The sequence below is a fragment of the Homo sapiens genome, chromosome 10 (genome assembly GCF_000001405.40).
Source record: "Homo sapiens chromosome 10, GRCh38.p14 Primary Assembly".
Lineage (NCBI taxonomy): Eukaryota > Metazoa > Chordata > Mammalia > Primates > Hominidae > Homo > Homo sapiens.
Window position 1 is genome coordinate 25,515,731 of NC_000010.11, and position 16,658 is coordinate 25,532,388.

General features: G+C 39.2%; 1 protein-coding gene across 3 annotated transcripts in view, besides 1 other annotated feature; it reads left to right on the forward strand.

The window, feature by feature from the left end:
* GPR158 (G protein-coupled receptor 158) overlaps positions 1-16,658 on the forward strand; it is a 427,229-nt gene that overhangs the window by 340,730 nt on the left and 69,841 nt on the right. The gene's annotated exons all lie outside the window — the stretch shown is intronic.
* Positions 14,796-14,996: a silencer, noted in NCBI's record as "peak912 fragment used in MPRA reporter construct". NCBI's record gives its function as "represses an SCP1 promoter by STARR-seq MPRAs in K562 erythroleukemia cells {active_cell/tissue: K562}" and the evidence as "EXISTENCE:reporter gene assay evidence [ECO:0000049][PMID:32103011]".

Below are 16,658 nucleotides of genomic sequence, written 5' to 3' on the forward strand. Positions count from 1 at the left end.
GGTGTATATGTGCCACATTTTCTTAATCCAGTCTATCATTGTTGGACATTTGGGTTGGTTCCAAGTCTTTGCTATTGTGAATAATGCCACAATAAACATACGTGTGCATGTGTCTTTATAGCAGCATGATTTATAGTCATTTGGGTATATACCCAGTAATGGGATGGCTGGGTTAAATGGTATTTCTAGTTCTAGATCCCTGAGGAATCACCACACTGACTTCCACAATGGTTGAACTAGTTTACAGTCCCACCAACAGTGTAAAAGTGTTCCTATTTCTCCACATCCTCTCCAGCACCTGTTGTTTCCTGACTTTTTAATGATCACCATTCTAACTGGTGTGAGATGATATCTCATAGTGGTTTTGATTTGCATTTCTCTGATGGCCAGTGATGATGAGCATTTTTTCATGTGTTTTTTGGCTGCATAAATGTCTTCTTTTGAGAAGTGTCTGCTCATGTCCTTTGCCCACTTTTTGATGGGGTTGTTTGTTTTTTTCTTGTAAATTTGTTTGAGTTCATTGTAGATTCTGGATATTAGCCCTTTGTCAGATGAGTAGGTTGCGAAAATTTTCTCCCATGTTGTAGGTTGCCTGTTCACTCTGATGGTAGTTTCTTTGGCTGTGCAGAAGCTCTTTAGTTTAATTAGATCCCATTTGTCAATTTTGGCTTTTGCTGCCATTGCTTTTGGTGTTTTGGACGTGAAGTCCTTGCCCATGCCTATGTCCTGAATGGTAATGCCTAGGTTTTCTTCTAGGGTTTTTATGGTTTTAGGTCTAACGTTTAAATCTTTAATCCATCTTGAATTGATTTTTGTATAAGGTGTAAGGAAGGGATCCAGTTTCAGCTTTCTCCATATGGCTAGCCAGTTTTCCCAGCACCATTTATTAAATAGGGAATCCTTTCCCCATTGCTTGTTTTTCTCAGGTTTGTCAAAGATCAGATAGTTGTAGGTATGCGGCGTTATTTCTGAGGGCTCTGTTCTGTTCCATTGATCTATATCTCTGTTTTGGTACCAGTACCATGCTGTTTTGGTTACTGTAGCCTTGTAGTATAGTTTGAAGTCAGGTAGTGTGATGCCTCCAGCTTTGTTCTTTTGGCTTAGGATTGACTTGGCGATGTGGGCTCTTTTTTGGTTCCATATGAACTTTAAAGTAGTTTTTTCCAATTCTGTGAAGAAAGTCATTGGTAGCTTGATGGGGATGGCATTGAATCTGCAAATTACCTTGGGCAGTATGGCCATTTTCACGATATTGATTCTTCCTACCCATGAGCATGGAATGCTCTTCCATTTGTTTGTATCCTCTTTTGTTTCATTGAGCAGTGGCTTGTAGTTCTCCTTGAAGAGGTCCTTCACATCCCTTGTAAGTTGGATTCCTAGGTATTTTATTCTCTTTGAAGCAATTGTGAATGGGAGTTCACTCATGATTTGGCTCTCTGTTTGTCTGTTGTTGGTGTATAAGAATGCTTGTGATTTTTGTACATTGATTTTGTATCCTGAGACTTTGCTGAAGTTGCTTATCAGCTTAAGGAGATTTTGGGCTGAGACAATGGGGTTTTCTAGATAAACAATCATGTCGTCTGCAAACAGGGACAATTTGACTTCCTCTTTTCCTAACTGAATACCCTTTATTTCCTTCTTCTGCCTGATTGCCCTGGCCAGAACTTCCAACACTATGTTGAATAGGAGTGGTGAGAGAGGGCATCCCTGTCTTGTGCCAGTTTTCAAAGGGAATGCTTCCAGTTTTTGCCCATTCAGTATGATATAGGCTGTGGGTTTGTCATAGACAGCTCTTATTATTTTGAAATACGTCCCATCAATACCTAATTTATTGAGAGTTTTTAGCATGAAGGGTTGTTGAATTTTGTCAAAGGCCTTTTCTGCATCTATTGAGATAATCATGTGGTTTTTGTCTTTAGTTCTGTTTATATGCTGGATTACATTTATTGATTTGCGTATATTGAACCAGCCTTGCATCCCAGGGATGAAGCCCACTTGATCATGGTGGATAAGCTTTTTGATGTGCTGCTGGATTCAGTTTGCCAGTATTTTGTTGAGGATTTTTGCATCAATGTTCATCAAGGATATTGGTCTAAAATTCTCTTTTTTGGTTGTGTCTCTGCCTGGCTTTGGTATCAGAATGATGCTGGCCTCATAAAATGAGTTAGGGAGGATTCCCTCTTTTTCTATTGATTGGAATAGTTTCAGAAGGAATGGTACCAGTTCCTCCTTGTACCTCTGGTAGAATTCGGCTGTGAATCCATCTGGTCCTGGACTCTTTTTGGTTGGTAAACTATTGATTATTGCCACAATTTCAGCTCCTGTTATTGGTCTATTCAGAGATTCAACTTCTTCCTGGTTTAGTCTTGGGAGAGTGTATGTGTCGAGGAATGTATCCATTTCTTCTAGATATTCTAGTTTATTTGTGTAGAGGTGTTTGTAGTATTCTCTGATGGTAGTTTGTATTTCTGTGGGATTGGTGGTGATATCCCCTTTATCATTTTTTATTGTGTCTATTTGATTCTTCTCTCTTTTTTTCTTTATTAGTCTTGCTAGCGGCCTATCAATTTTGTTGATCCTTTCAAAAAACCAGCTCCTGGATTCATTGATTTTTTGAAGGGTTTTTTGTGTCTCTATTTCCTTCAGTTCTGCTCTGATTTTAGTTATTTCTTGCCTTCTGCTAGCTTTTGAATGTGTTTGCTCTTGCTTTTCTAGTTCTTTTAATTGTGTTGTTCGGGTGTCAATTTTAGATCTTTCCTGCTTTCTCTTGTGGGCATTTAGTGCTATAAATTTCCCTCTACACACTGCTTTGAATGCGTCCCAGAGATTCTGGTATGTGGTGTCTTTGTTCTCATTGGTTTCAAAGAACATCTTTATTTCTGCCTTCATTTCGTTATGTACCCAGTAGTCATTCAGGAGCAGGTTGTTCAGTTTCCATGTAGTTGAGTGGCTTTGAGTGAGATTCTTAATCCTGAGTTCTAGTTTGATTGCACTGTGGTCTGAGAGATAGTTTGTTATAATTTCTGTTCTTTTACATTTGCTGAGGAGAGCTTTACTTCCAAGTATGTGGTCAATTTTGGAATAGGTGTGGTGTGGTGCTGAAAAAAATGTATATTCTGTTGATTTGGGGTGGAGAGTTCTGTAGATGTCTATTAGGTCCGCTTGGTGCAGAGCTGAGTTCAATTCCTGGGTATCCTTGTTGACTTTCTGTCTCGTTGATCTGTCTAATGTTGACAGTGGGGTGTTAAAGTCTCCCATTATTAATGTGTGGGAGTCTAAGTCTCTTTGTAGGTCACTCAGGACTTGCTTTATGAATCTGGGTGCTCCTGTATTGGGTGCATAAATATTTAGGATAGTTAGCTCCTCTTGTTGAATTGATCCCTTTACCATTATGTAATGGCCTTCTTTGTCTCTTTTGATCTTTGTTGGTTTAAAGTCTGTTTTATCAGAGAGTAGGATTGCAACCCCTGCCTTTTTTTGTTTTCCATTTGCTTGGTAGATCTTCCTCCATCCTTTTATTTTGAGCCTATGTGTGTCTCTGCACGTGAGATGGGTTTCCTGAATACAGCACACTGGTGGGTCTTGACTCTTTATCCAATTTGCCAGTCTGTGTCTTTTAATTGGAGAATTTAGTCCATTTACATTTAAAGTTAATATTGTTATGTGTGAATTTGATCCTGTCATTATGATGTTAGCTGGTGATTTTGCTCGTTAGTTGATGCAGTTTCTTCCTAGTCTCGATGGTCTTTACATTTTGGCATGATTTTGCAGCAGCTGGTACCGGTTGTTCCTTTCCATGTTTAGCGCTTCCTTCAGGAGCTCTTTTAGGGCAGGCCTGGTGGTGACAAAATCTCTCAGCATTTGCTTGTCTGTAAAGTATTTTATTTCTCCTTCACTTACGAAGCTTAGCTTGGCTGGATATGAAATTCTGGGTTGAAAATTCTTTTCTTTAAGAATGTTGAATATTGGCCCCCACTCTCTTCTGGCTTGTAGGGTTTCTGCTGAGAGATCCGCTGTTAGTCTGATGGGCTTCCCTTTGAGGGTAACCCGACCTTTCTCTCTGGCTGCCCTTAACATTTTTTCCTTCATTTCAACTTTGGTGAATCTGACAATTATGTGTCTTGGAGTTGCTCCTCTCGAGGAGTATCTTTGTGGCGTTCTCTGTATTTCCTGAATCTGAACGTTGGCCTGCCTTGCTAGATTGGGGAAGTTCTCCTGGATAATATCCTGCAGAGTGTTTTCCAACTTGGTTCCATTCTCCGCATCACTTTCAGGTACACCAATCAGACGTAGATTTGGTCTTTTCACATAGTCCCATATTTCTTGGAGGCTTTGCTCATTTCTTTTTATTCTTTTTTCTCTAAACTTCCCTTCTCGCTTCATTTCATTCATTTCATCTTCCATTGCTGATACCCTTTCTTCCAGTTGATCGCATCGGCTCCTGAGGCTTCTGCATTCTTCACGTAGTTCTCGAGCCTTGGTTTTCAGCTCCATCAGCTCCTTTAAGCACTTCTCTGTATTGGTTATTCTAGTTATACATTCTTCTAAATTTTTTTCAAAGTTTTCAACTTCTTTGCCTTTGGTTTGAATGTCCTCCCGTAGCTCAGAGTAATTTGATCATCTGAAGCCTTCTTCTCTCAGCTCGTCAAAGTCATTCTCCATCCAGCTTTGTTCTGTTGCTGGTGAGGAACTGCGTTCCTTTGGAGGAGGAGAGGCGTTCTGCGTTTTAGAGTTTCCAGTTTTTCTGTTCTGTTTTTTCCCCATCTTTGTGGTTTTATCTACTTTTGGTCTTTGATGATGGTGATGTACAGATGGGTTTTCAGTGTGGATGTCCTTTCTGTTTGTTAGTTTTCCTTCTAACAGACAGGACCCTCAGCTGCAGGTCTGTTGGAATACCCTGCCGTGTGAGGTGTCAGTGTGCCCCTGCTGGGGGGTGCCTCCCAGTTAGGCTGCTCGGGGGTCAGGGGTCAGGGACCCGCTTGAGGAGGCAGTCTGCCCGTTCTCAGATCTGCAGCTGCGTGCTGGGAGAACCACTGCTCTCTTCAAAGCTGTCAGACAGGGACAGCAGAGGTTACTGCTGTCTTTTTGTTTGTCTGTGCCCTGCCCCCAGAGGTGGAGCCTACAGAGGCAGGCAGGCCTCCTTGAGCTGTGGTGGGCTCCGCCCAGTTGGAGCTTCCCGGCTTCTTTGTTTACCTAAGCAAGCCTGGGCAATGGCGGGCGCCCCTCCCCCAGCCTCGCTGGCGCCTTGCAGTTTGATCTCAGACTGCTGTGCTAGCAATCAGCGAGACTCTGTGGGCGTAGGACCCTCCGAGCCAGGTGTGGGATATAGTCTCGTGGTGCGCCATTTCCTAAGCCCGTCGGAAAAGCGCAGTATTCGGGCGGGAGTGACCCGATTTTCCAGGTGCATCCGTCACCCCTTTCTTTGACTCGGAAAGGAAACTCCCTGACCCCTTGCGCTTCCCAGGTGAGGCAATGCCTCGCCCTGCTTCGGCTCGCGCACGGTGCACGCACCCACTGGCCTGCGCCCACTGTCTGGCACTCCCTAGTGAGATGAACCCGGTACCTCAGATGGAAATGCAGAAATCACCCGTCTTCTGCGTCGCTCACGCTGGGAGCTGTAGGCCGGAGCTGTTCCTATTCGGCCATCTTGGCTCCTCCCTCCTCTATTGTTATCTATTTCACTGAAGATTTTTTTCCTTCCTAACTTGCATCATATTATTGATTTAAGTTTGACTTCACCTTTGTCTGGTGCCTCCTTGATTAGCTTAATAGTTGACCTCCTGAATTCTTTTTCTGGCAACTTAGAGATTTCTTCTTGGTTTGGATCCATTGCTGGTGAGCCAGTGTGATCTTTTGGGGGCATTAAAGAACCTTGTATTGTCATATTACCAGAATTGTTTTTCTAGTTTCTTCTCATTTGGTAGACTATGTCAGAGGGAAGATCTGGGGTGAAAGAGCTGCTGGTCAGTAAAACATGGAACGCTTCATGAATTTGTGTGTCATCCTTGCACATGGGCCATGCTAATGCAGCACACATCAAATGACTTTAGTAGACTGTTATCTTGCTGATGGTATGAAAGCAATGGCAGAAAAAAATCCTACAGATATTAGTTTATATGAAAACTGCTGCCAAAAGGTATTGAAGGAGTAGTCATTGAATCCTACATAGACAATAAGAAGATGATAATTTTTCAGAGTTGAGGCACTGTGGGTGAAAGGAGATAAGGGCCCAGAAACTCACTTGCTTGATCTTCTCTTTTGACTGTCATAAATAACCTCTGAGATGTCTCCACAGAGGCCAGTTTAATAACCAGTAATTAGGGTAAAAAGCAGAGAACAAGGGATCAGAACTGAGTTATAATTCTGGTGTAGCCAGTTGTGTGACCTAGCACAAGTCACTTAGTCTTTTGGGGTCTCAGCTTCTTACTATGTAAGTTAAGAGTATTGACATAGGTATTCTCAACAGCACTTCTCACTTCTGTCATTTCTTGGCAGTTTTAGAGAAATTCCCCAAAATATTTAGATCCACGTTTTCAGCTAGTTCCTGTTAACCCCGTTACCCTCCCAGTGCTTGGCATGGTCAGGGAATGTAATAAATCGCCTGCTTTTAAAAAGCTCTGGACATCCATCTGAGTCCTGTTTTCAAGGAAATTGTAGGCTTACTTTTTTATAAAGAGAGATATTCCAGCAGAGTCATGGCCTCCTTTTCCCTTGTAACCCTGTTGATGGCAATGCCAACTTCCATCAAATTCTCTTTGGCTTTGGTAATGAGATATAGATGTTGGGGGGAAATGACTAATGAGAAAAGGGATCTGGATTTGACTTTGCCTTGGAGGAAATTGCATTTATGTAATTGAATTCACTATAAAGACAGACCTGTGAGTTGCAGAAGGCTGAAACACAATTGACTACTTACATACAAGTTTGAAAACTCACAAAATACGCTTATATATTATTTATGGATACATATAAATGGAACAAACATAGAAAACATGTACTGGATGGCTTTATGTCAGACTTTTTAGTGCTTGCCTCTAGAGAAAGTAGAAGACATGGGACTGTGAAGGGGAATTAGGAAGCTTCTCCTTAATATGGGTAAAGTTTTCAGTTTTTTAAAGACCCATAGTGATTGTAACAAAATTTATACACGTATTAATTTGTGTGGTGTGCAGATGTCAAGGTTATATTAATCTCAATTTCTATTTTTTTTAAACTTAAAAAAAGTAAAATTGTATTTAAAAGTACTTTCAAGAGCTGAGCTGAACTGGAGAAGCTGAGCTGCTAGATGTCAGAGTAACTGGTTAAGGCAACAAGCCGAAATGGAAGAAACAGTCAAGCCCTTCATCACTTAGTATAAGCAAGAGGCTGAACTGAAGAAAGTGCTGTCTTCCCTGCTGTTCCATTTTTCCCCATGGGATGGCACCATGCACAAGGGTCAGATGGGTCAACACAGGCATGGGGAATGTCTCACTGCAGTGGGAGCCCTGAACAAAAGGCTCCTGAAGTCCTGTGGATCCAGGGGTTGGGAGAAGGGCTAGAAATGGAAGAGTACTGAGTCAGAGTGAAGAAAACATCTTTAAGGTCCTCTGTGTGGAAGAACTCTTGGATGGCTTGGATGGAGACAGCTCTGCTAGGAATGCGACATGAGTAAGAGCATGGCTAGCCAGGGAGCCTGAGTCCTTGACTGCAGCCCCCTCTAGCAACTGCAGTACATCAAGACTGTGCACCAGGTGGGGAGGACAGAGTTCCCGTAAAAGGTTTGCCAGGTAAAGTTTTTATAATTGCCTGTGGTTGGGCCTGAAAAATCAGACATAGGTTTTGGTCAGTAGCTGGACTCCTCGAATTCTAATGTTTTTCTGCTACAGAAAGCTGTGTAGCTGAGAAATAGACAATTTAATCAAAATATTTGGAGACTTCGGTACCCTACTTTTTGTAATGAATAGAACACCTAAACAGAAGATCAACAAGGAAACAGTATAAACCAACTAGACCTAGCAGACATCTGTAGAATACTCCTCTAAGATCAGGAATCACACAATGATTTATACTGTTACAACTTCTATTCAACATTGTGCTGGAGATTCTAGCCACAGCAATTAGGCAAGAAAATGAAGAAGAAGAAAAAAAAGGCTTTTACTTTAGAAAGGAAGAAGTAAAACTGTCTCTATTTGCAGATGAAACGATCTTATAGAGAGAAAACTCTAAGGAATGCACAAAAAAAAGATCTTTAGAACTAATAAGTTCAGCAAAGTTGCAGAATACGAGATCAGAATATAAAAGCAATTTAATTTTCTTATACCAGCAATGAACAATCCTAAAATGAAATTAATGAAACAATTCCATTAGAAAAAGAATAAAATATTTACAAATCTAATAAAAGAAGTGCAAGACTATACAATGAAAACTACAAAACATCATTAAAAGGCGTTCAAGAACTACATAAATGGAACTCATGGATTAGAAAACTGAATAGGTTAGCAGTACTCCCCAGATTGATCCACAGATCCAGTGCAAGCCTATGAAAACCCAGCTATCTTTTTGTTAAAATTTCCAAGCTCGTTCTAAAATGTATATGGACACGCAAGGGGCCCAGAATATCTAAAATAATTTCAAAAAGCAGAACAAAATTGGAAGACTCATACTCCCTTACTTCCACCAAACTTACTACAAAGCTGTGCTGATCAAGATAATGTGGTACTGAGATAAGACAGACATGAAGATCAATGGAATAAAATTTAGAGAGTTCCAAAATACATCTTTCCATTTGTGGTCAATTGATAAGCATGTGAAGAATGTTCAATGGGGAAAGAATAGTCTTTTGAATAAATGATGCTAGAAGAACTGGATATCCATAAGCAGAATAATGAGTTGGATCCCTAGTTCATACCACATATAAAATTTAACTCAAAACAGCTCAGAGTCCTAAATGGAAGAGCCAAAACTGTAGAACTTTTAGAAGGAAACATAGATATAAATTTTTATGACCTTGGGGTAAGCAATGGTTTCTTAGATATGACACCAAAATCACAAGTGACAAAAGATGAAATACATAGTTGATCTTTATCAAAGTCAAAAACTATGTTGCAAGTTATACTACCAAGAAAGTTAAAAGAAAGCACACAGAATAAGAGACAATATTTGTATGTCATATGTCTGATAAGGGACTTATATCCAGAATATTACAACTCAATAATAAAAAGACAATTCACCCAACTAAATAGACAAAGGATCTGAATAGACAGTTCTCTGGAGAATATATACAGATAGCCAATAAGCATATGAAAAGATGATCAGCATCATTTCTCATTAGGGAAATGCAAATCAAAACCACAATGTGATAACACTTCACACCCACAAGGATGGCTGTAATAAAAAAGATAGATAAAAAAGATAGGCAATGAGTGTTGGCGAGGAGGTAGAGAAATTGGAAACATCATCCATTGCTGGTAGGAATGTAAAATGGTGCAGTCACTCTCTAAAACAGTTGAAAATTTTCTCAAAATGTTAAGCAGAGTTACCATATGACTCAGCAATGCCATTCCTAAGTATATAACCAAGGGAAATGAAAGCATATGTCCACAAAAACACTTACACATGAATCTTCGTAGCTACATAATTCATAATAGCTCAAAAGTGGAAGCAATTCGCATGTTCATTAACTGATGAATGGATAAACACAATGTATTATATCTATACAGTGGAATATTATTAATAAAAAGGAAAGAAGTAGTGATACATGCTACAGTATATCAGTAGCATACATTGTATGGTACTCTACATTGTATGGATGAACTTTGAAAACATTGTGCTAAATCAAAAAAAGCAATCAAAAAAGACCATGGATTGCATGATTCCATTACTTGAATTGTCCAGAATTAGCACATTTATAAAGACAGAAAGTAGACTAGTCAGTGGCTGCCTGTGGCAGGGGAAGAATGGGGGAATGACTGCTAATCATTATGGGGTTCATTTTTGAGGTGGGGAAATGTTCAAAAATTGATTGTGGTAATTGTACAACTCTGTGACTATACTTCAAATGAATGAATGATATATGAATTACACTGCAATAAAGCTATTTATAAAAGTCATAGTAGGGCCAGGCACGGTGGCTCTCTTCTGTAATCCCAGCACTTTGGGAGGCTGAAGTGGGTGGATCACCTGAGGTCAGGAGTTCGAGACCAGCCTGGCCAACATGATGAAACCCCATCTCTACTAAAATACAAAAATTAGCCAGATGTGGTGGCATGTGCTTGTAAACCTAGCTACTTGGGAGGCTGAGGCAGGAGAGTTGCTTGAACCTGGGAGGCAGAGGTTGTAGTGAGCCAAGATCGTTGCCACTGCACTCCAGCCTGGGCGACAGTCCAATTTTGTCTAAAAAAAAAAAAAAAAAAAAAAAAAAAAGTCATAGCAATTCTGGTTCTAATAACTGAGCAGTTATGTTGAATTGACCTTCCAGCAGATACAACTCTGGAAAATATATAAAAACACAATTATTTGAAAAAACTGAAAAACTATCAAAAGCAGGCAGAAACTAGAAGGGATTTAATCCTTTAATAAAGGAACTGCACTAGGTAGGGGGCTACATTACCTACTCTTTTGCAGAGGGCGCTCCCAGTTTATGTAGTGTGTGAAGACTAGCACTTAAGCAAAAAGCTGCAATCTGTTTGTCTTAAGATGTCAGAGGATAGAGTTTGATCCTGCTAGAGAAGCTGGAAATTGAGGGGGTAAATTATGAAAAGGAGGGGGCCACAGGAGGCGGATGTACTCATCTGGATCCAATCAAGAGACAGAAACTGTACAGTAATTTGGATAGTGGGTTTATGTAAGGAGTTGTTAAACTATGATAGGGCAATAACTGTAAAGATATAAAGAGAACTCAATAATATAAGGCTGAAGGAGCATGCTCAAGAAAGGATAAACTTGGAAAGAGGCTTCCTCTGTAAAGCTGGGGTTCAGACCTTGTTGCAGAAGGTATGTTTGCAGCCCACTGGATGGCAGAGGAATTTGCTGAGTTACATAGGCAGAGCTGGTCCACAGATGCCAGACAATCAAGAAACAACCCCAGTGAAGTAAGATTGATGGACTGGCTTGCAGAGAGACTCAGGGCTTTGGAAGCCCACTCACAGGCTGGGAAGCAATTGGGCAAAGATTACCAGACTGGCAAAAAAGCAAGCCCCAGCTATATGCTGTACAATGTATAGATAAGATAAAAGTAACATGATTGCAAAAGATACAGTCATAAGAAAATTGGAATGGTTATATTAATATCAGACAAAATAGACTTCAAGAAAGGAGATATTCACAGAAAAAAAGAGGGACATGTTATCATGATGATAAAACTCAATTCATCAGGAAGCCATGACAATTCTAAACATATATGCACATAATAATAGAGCTTCAAAATGCATAAAGGAAAAGATAAGACAGAGCTAAAAGGATAGATGAATTCACAGTCAAGTCAGAGATTTTTACACCTTTGTGCAAAATAATGATGATAAATAACAAAACTGTACAAGTGGTATAGACTTAAAAAGATGAACTAATTGATATACACAAAACTACACATTTTTTTAAAGTACGTATGAAATGTTCACCAAGATAACCATATGGTATACCATAAAATGAATCCCTATAAACTTTTTAAAATGGAGATAAAAAAAGAATATCCTATGACTTCAATTTGAATTAAATTAGTAATCAATGATATGTTAACTTAAAAGCCCCAAATATTTGGAAATTAAACAATTTTTAAACAATTAGCGTGTAAAACAAGAAAATGGAAATTAGAAATATTTCAAATGGAATGATAGTGAAAATGTGAGATATCAAAATTAGTAGGATGCAGCCAAAGCAGTGTTTATAGGGAACTTTACAGAATTAAATGCTAACATTAGAAAAAATATGAACTATGATTCTACCCTATGCATCTAGAGAAAGAACAAATCAAACCCCAAACAAGTAGAATAAGGGAAAAAATAAAGTAAGAATCTACTTGAAATCAGACATATAATAGAGAAACCCAAAAGCTGTTATTTTTTAAGTTATAAAGTTGATAAACCTCTGGCAAGACTGATCAAGAAAAAAATGGAATACACAAATTACCAGTATCAGGAATGAAAAAGAAAATATTGCTAGAGATCCTGCAGAGATTAAAAGGATAATAAGCTGGTATTACAATAAAACTTGATGCCAACAAAGTCCACAACTTGGATGAAATGGACAATCTTTTTGAAAAATACAACTTACTAAAATTGACAGAAGAGATAGGAAATTTGAATACACATTTTCATATAAATAAATTTATAATGAAAAGACTTCTCAGAAATAAAGCTATAGACAAAGATATCTTTAGCTATTTCTATTACACATTTAAGAATGGAATAGTGTCAATCTTAACTCTTTCAGAAAATAGAGGAAAAGGAAATACGCCCCAATTCATATTGTTCCAATATCCTGATATCAGCTCATACTACCATACTGACCCTAAAACCTGACCAAGATATAATTAGAAAAGAACATGACAAACAATACCCCTTATGAACATAGAATTAAAATTATCAAAATTCCTTAACAAAGTATTAGAAAATTGGATCTATATATATATAGATATATAGAGAGAGATCCAAGCATTAGATGGGAAGCACTAAAATATTTTTAAAATATACATACAACATAATTGGGTACATTAAAAAACCTGAAGAAATCTTCAGTGTTAGAATTAATAAGTGAATTTGTCAGGGTTCTAGGATATTCCTATATACAGTAGCAAACAACTGGAGAATGAATATTTTAAAATTACATTTACAATAGTACCTAAAAGCACTAAATACATACAAGTAGATTTATTAAAAAATGTGCAAGAAATCTACACTGACAACTAGAATATAGTGTTAAGAGAATATAAAGGAAACCTAAATAGAGAAACACATGATGTTCATGAATTAAGTGGTGTCAGTTCTCTTCAAATTGTTCTGTAGAATCATTGTAATTGTAATCAAAACCCCAGCGGGCTTTTCTTTTAGTAATTTACAAGTTTAGTCTAAAATTTATATAGAAAATAAATGATGCAAACTAGCTAAGTCAGTGTTTTAAAAGAACAAAGCTAGAGGATTTATACTATGGAATTTCAAAAATTACTCTAAAGTTACAGGACTTAATACAGTGTTAATTGGCCTAAGGAGAGAGAAATAGATCAATGGGACAAAATAAAGCAACCAGAAATATATCTACACATATACTGTCAATTGACTTGTTATGGAAGTTTCAAGGTAATTCAACAGGGAAAGTAAAGTCTTTTCAACGAACGGTGCTGAAACAACTGGATAAATATATGGGAGGAAGTAACAACCAGGTTAGGCAACAATTTGAGAGCATACGGCCAGGCATGGTGGCTCACGCGTGTAATCCCAGCACTTTAGGAGGCTGAGGCAGGCGGATCACGAGGTCAGGAGATCCAGACCGTCCTGCTAACACGGTGAAACCCTGTCTGTACTAAAAATACAAAAAATTAGCCGGGCGTGGTGGCGGGCACCTGTAATCCCAGCTACTCAGGAGGCTGAGGCAGGAGAATCACTTGAACTCGGGAGGCGGAGGTAGCAGTAAGCCGAGATTGCACCATTGCACTCCAGCCTCGGTGACAGAGCGAGACTCCTCAAAAAAAAAATCAATTTGAGAGTATATACAAATCAATGGACATAAAAGATAAAGTGAATAATTTGGAATTCATAGAAAGACTTCTTATCAAAAAGCATCTTTTGGAAGCCTCTCATTGCAGGGATCGGGGAGTGGCAAGTTGGATTGGAGGTTGCCCCCGTTACTCAGATATTGCCTTTACTTGTGCTTCATTATTTTACTCTCAGATACAAGTACAAGATAAAAGCGCAATATAAAGGTTACTAATAAAAAACAATGCCAAGAAATTGTGGTGAGACACATGAACACCCAAATCACTTAGATGTGAAGATTGAGATGGGGTTAAAGGAAACAGGAATACTATGCCTTGGCCTGAGAAAAGTCACTCTCACGACAGCCTTTTTCATTCCTGGCCACTGGGACCATGGCCTGATCTTTCACTTTCAAGTTTCCCTCTGTTTTGAGTAGCAGGCCTTGGTTCCAGTGCCTAGACCTGCCCCGTTCTGCCCATATTTTTCTCTTGCTCCCCTAACAACTGCCAAGCAACCAACAATTGTTTTCATATATTTTTGTCTCACTTTTCCATCCGTTTGATTAGGAAAATTAAAACCTACTGGCCTTTCGTATCTTACTGCTTTAGTTTGTCACCACTGAAAATGTCTAGACTCATCCTCTCCCCCTTTTGCCTCCTCAGCCCTTCTGCTTCTTATAGGTTGTAGGTGGGGAGGCGGGAGATGGGTGGCAGCTGAAGATCTTTGTCGTCCTTATACTTCTGAGATGGTCTCCTCATGAGCTGAAGTGGAACAGTAACTGTGTGGCTTCTTCAATAAGATAATACATGAGAAAAGTGAAAAGTGTTATTAAAAAAACAAACACAGAACTCCAAGGGCTTTCCCAATATGTGGGCATATTTTAATGCCAGCGTGAATCTGGTTACGGCACCAAGAAGGCGGTAGTCACTCAGTCTCACAAAGGAACACACACTCTTTGATTCTGTTTCTGTGAAGTGTAAGAGCAGCTCAAAATGACCTGTAGCGATAAAATATTATTACGGATGTAGAATCCACAGGACCTCACACCTGACTGGACACTGGAAAGGCAGGAGGCCCATCTGACAGCCTTTTGAAGTATCTGCAGCTAAGCGTCCTTGCCCCACCTCCCCGCAGAAGGTGTGCTGCAGCAGGAGTGCTCTGTTGCTAGTGAGTCCGCAACAGGCAGGAGAGTTTAAAGACATGTAAAACAAACAAAGCTGATCCATTATCCAGAAAAATAAGCACGTATGCAGAGACAAATTCTGCTTCAGGTCTTGCTTACATTAAGCAATCTTGATGTGATAACACTTAACCAATTTTGATGCAATAAGACATCTTTAGAGGAAGTGACAGGAAACAGGTCAAGGATCGTTTAACTCCTTCTCAGTCACTCTCTGCCTCTCCTTGAACAATTCTTTCTTCATCAGTACTAAGCCCTTTTCCAGCCTTGTGTCAGCTCTCTGGTCTGCTGGAGATGGCCTCACTGGGATCTCTCCATCCGAGCAGTAGACCATGTCCTGAATATTTTCTTCCCTTCTACTTTGCATCAAAACTTACCCATTCTGTGCCTCTTCCTTCAGGAGCTTATTCTGTCCTAAGTGGCTTTCAGAGTCATCACTCTAATCCTTTCAGATACATGTCTAGGGATCTTTTGAAGATTAAAAAATAATGCTAATGGTAGGTATTTTAGACATTCCAATGATTAGTAAGAAAAATATTCTTGAACAATTCTTTTTTTGGAACCTTTAAGATAACATATATTTTTATATGAAAACAAATTTTTTATAGAGAACGGCACCTTGTGTGGAGATTGAAAATGTTGACAATTTAGGGTAATTCCACCTTTGACACATTCAGTTATGTTGTCCTGGGCAAGTTACTTATCGTCCTAAGTATCTCAAGTCAGGAAAAGAGAAACATCAAGTAGGTAACAAAAAGTAAAAACCCCGCGTCCATGCTGGTTTTGATTATTGATAATGACCATGTGTTAAGCAGAGCCTTCTAGAAAAGTGAATAGGAGGAAGACTAAAAATATGTGGAGAACATCCATTTGTTACTGTTTACTGACAAATCTGAAAAAGTTTTATGGCAACCTATAGTTACACCTAGATATTTATTTTCAGCCCTTTTTATTTGGGGCTGAGTAATAAGAAAGTGTCCTCTCGAAAGAGATGAGGCAGTGAGTCAGACTGAAACAGGCTGGCAAAGTGGCTCCCTCGTCATAGGATTTGGTATTATTTATGTTAATTTGCCATTGAGGGAATTTATAAGGATCTGGTAGGATCACCTCATGCTCGCTTTAGACAGGAATAAAAAAGGTTTTGCATCAATCTTTAAGGAATAAATATAGGAGAAATAATTATACCACTTTAGTTGTCAGTGCTTTCACATAATTCTTCCTATCTTGTGAGGGAGGGAGGATTATTACTCAGCTTTCCACATGAGGGAGGAGATGGTCAGAGTGGGCTGCTCAAGGTCATGCCGTTAGGAAGTGGCAGAGCAGTCCCTTGGGCCTCCAGAGCTTATCATCTTTCCATGATACCACTCTGCTCCTCTAGAAATAGATGCTTATTTCTGCCTGGAGCATGGGGAGATCATACCGGAAATGGTGACTTCTTCACAGAGGGAGACATAGGACTATCAGGACAATTCTGATTCTAGGTTGTAACTGCAATTTGCATAATTATGACTTTAGATTTCTAGTGTAATTTGTGGTTTTTGGAACCTGTTGTACTATATGTTTTGCACATTTTCTTTAACCAAGTTGAGAAGGAGGACTACTGACATGAATCTTTGGACCCTAAAGAGAAAGAGGTGGGTTTCGTTGTTTGTTTTTCACCAGAGAATGGTCTATGCAAGACTATCTGTTAAACGGATGAGGCACCATACTAAGCTAAAGAGGTGGGCCACTCCCAGGGACAGGGTATGCCTAAGAGTGATGCATTTTTTATGTGTATTCTGTTCTTGGCTGTAAAAAAGCTTTTGCCTCTATCA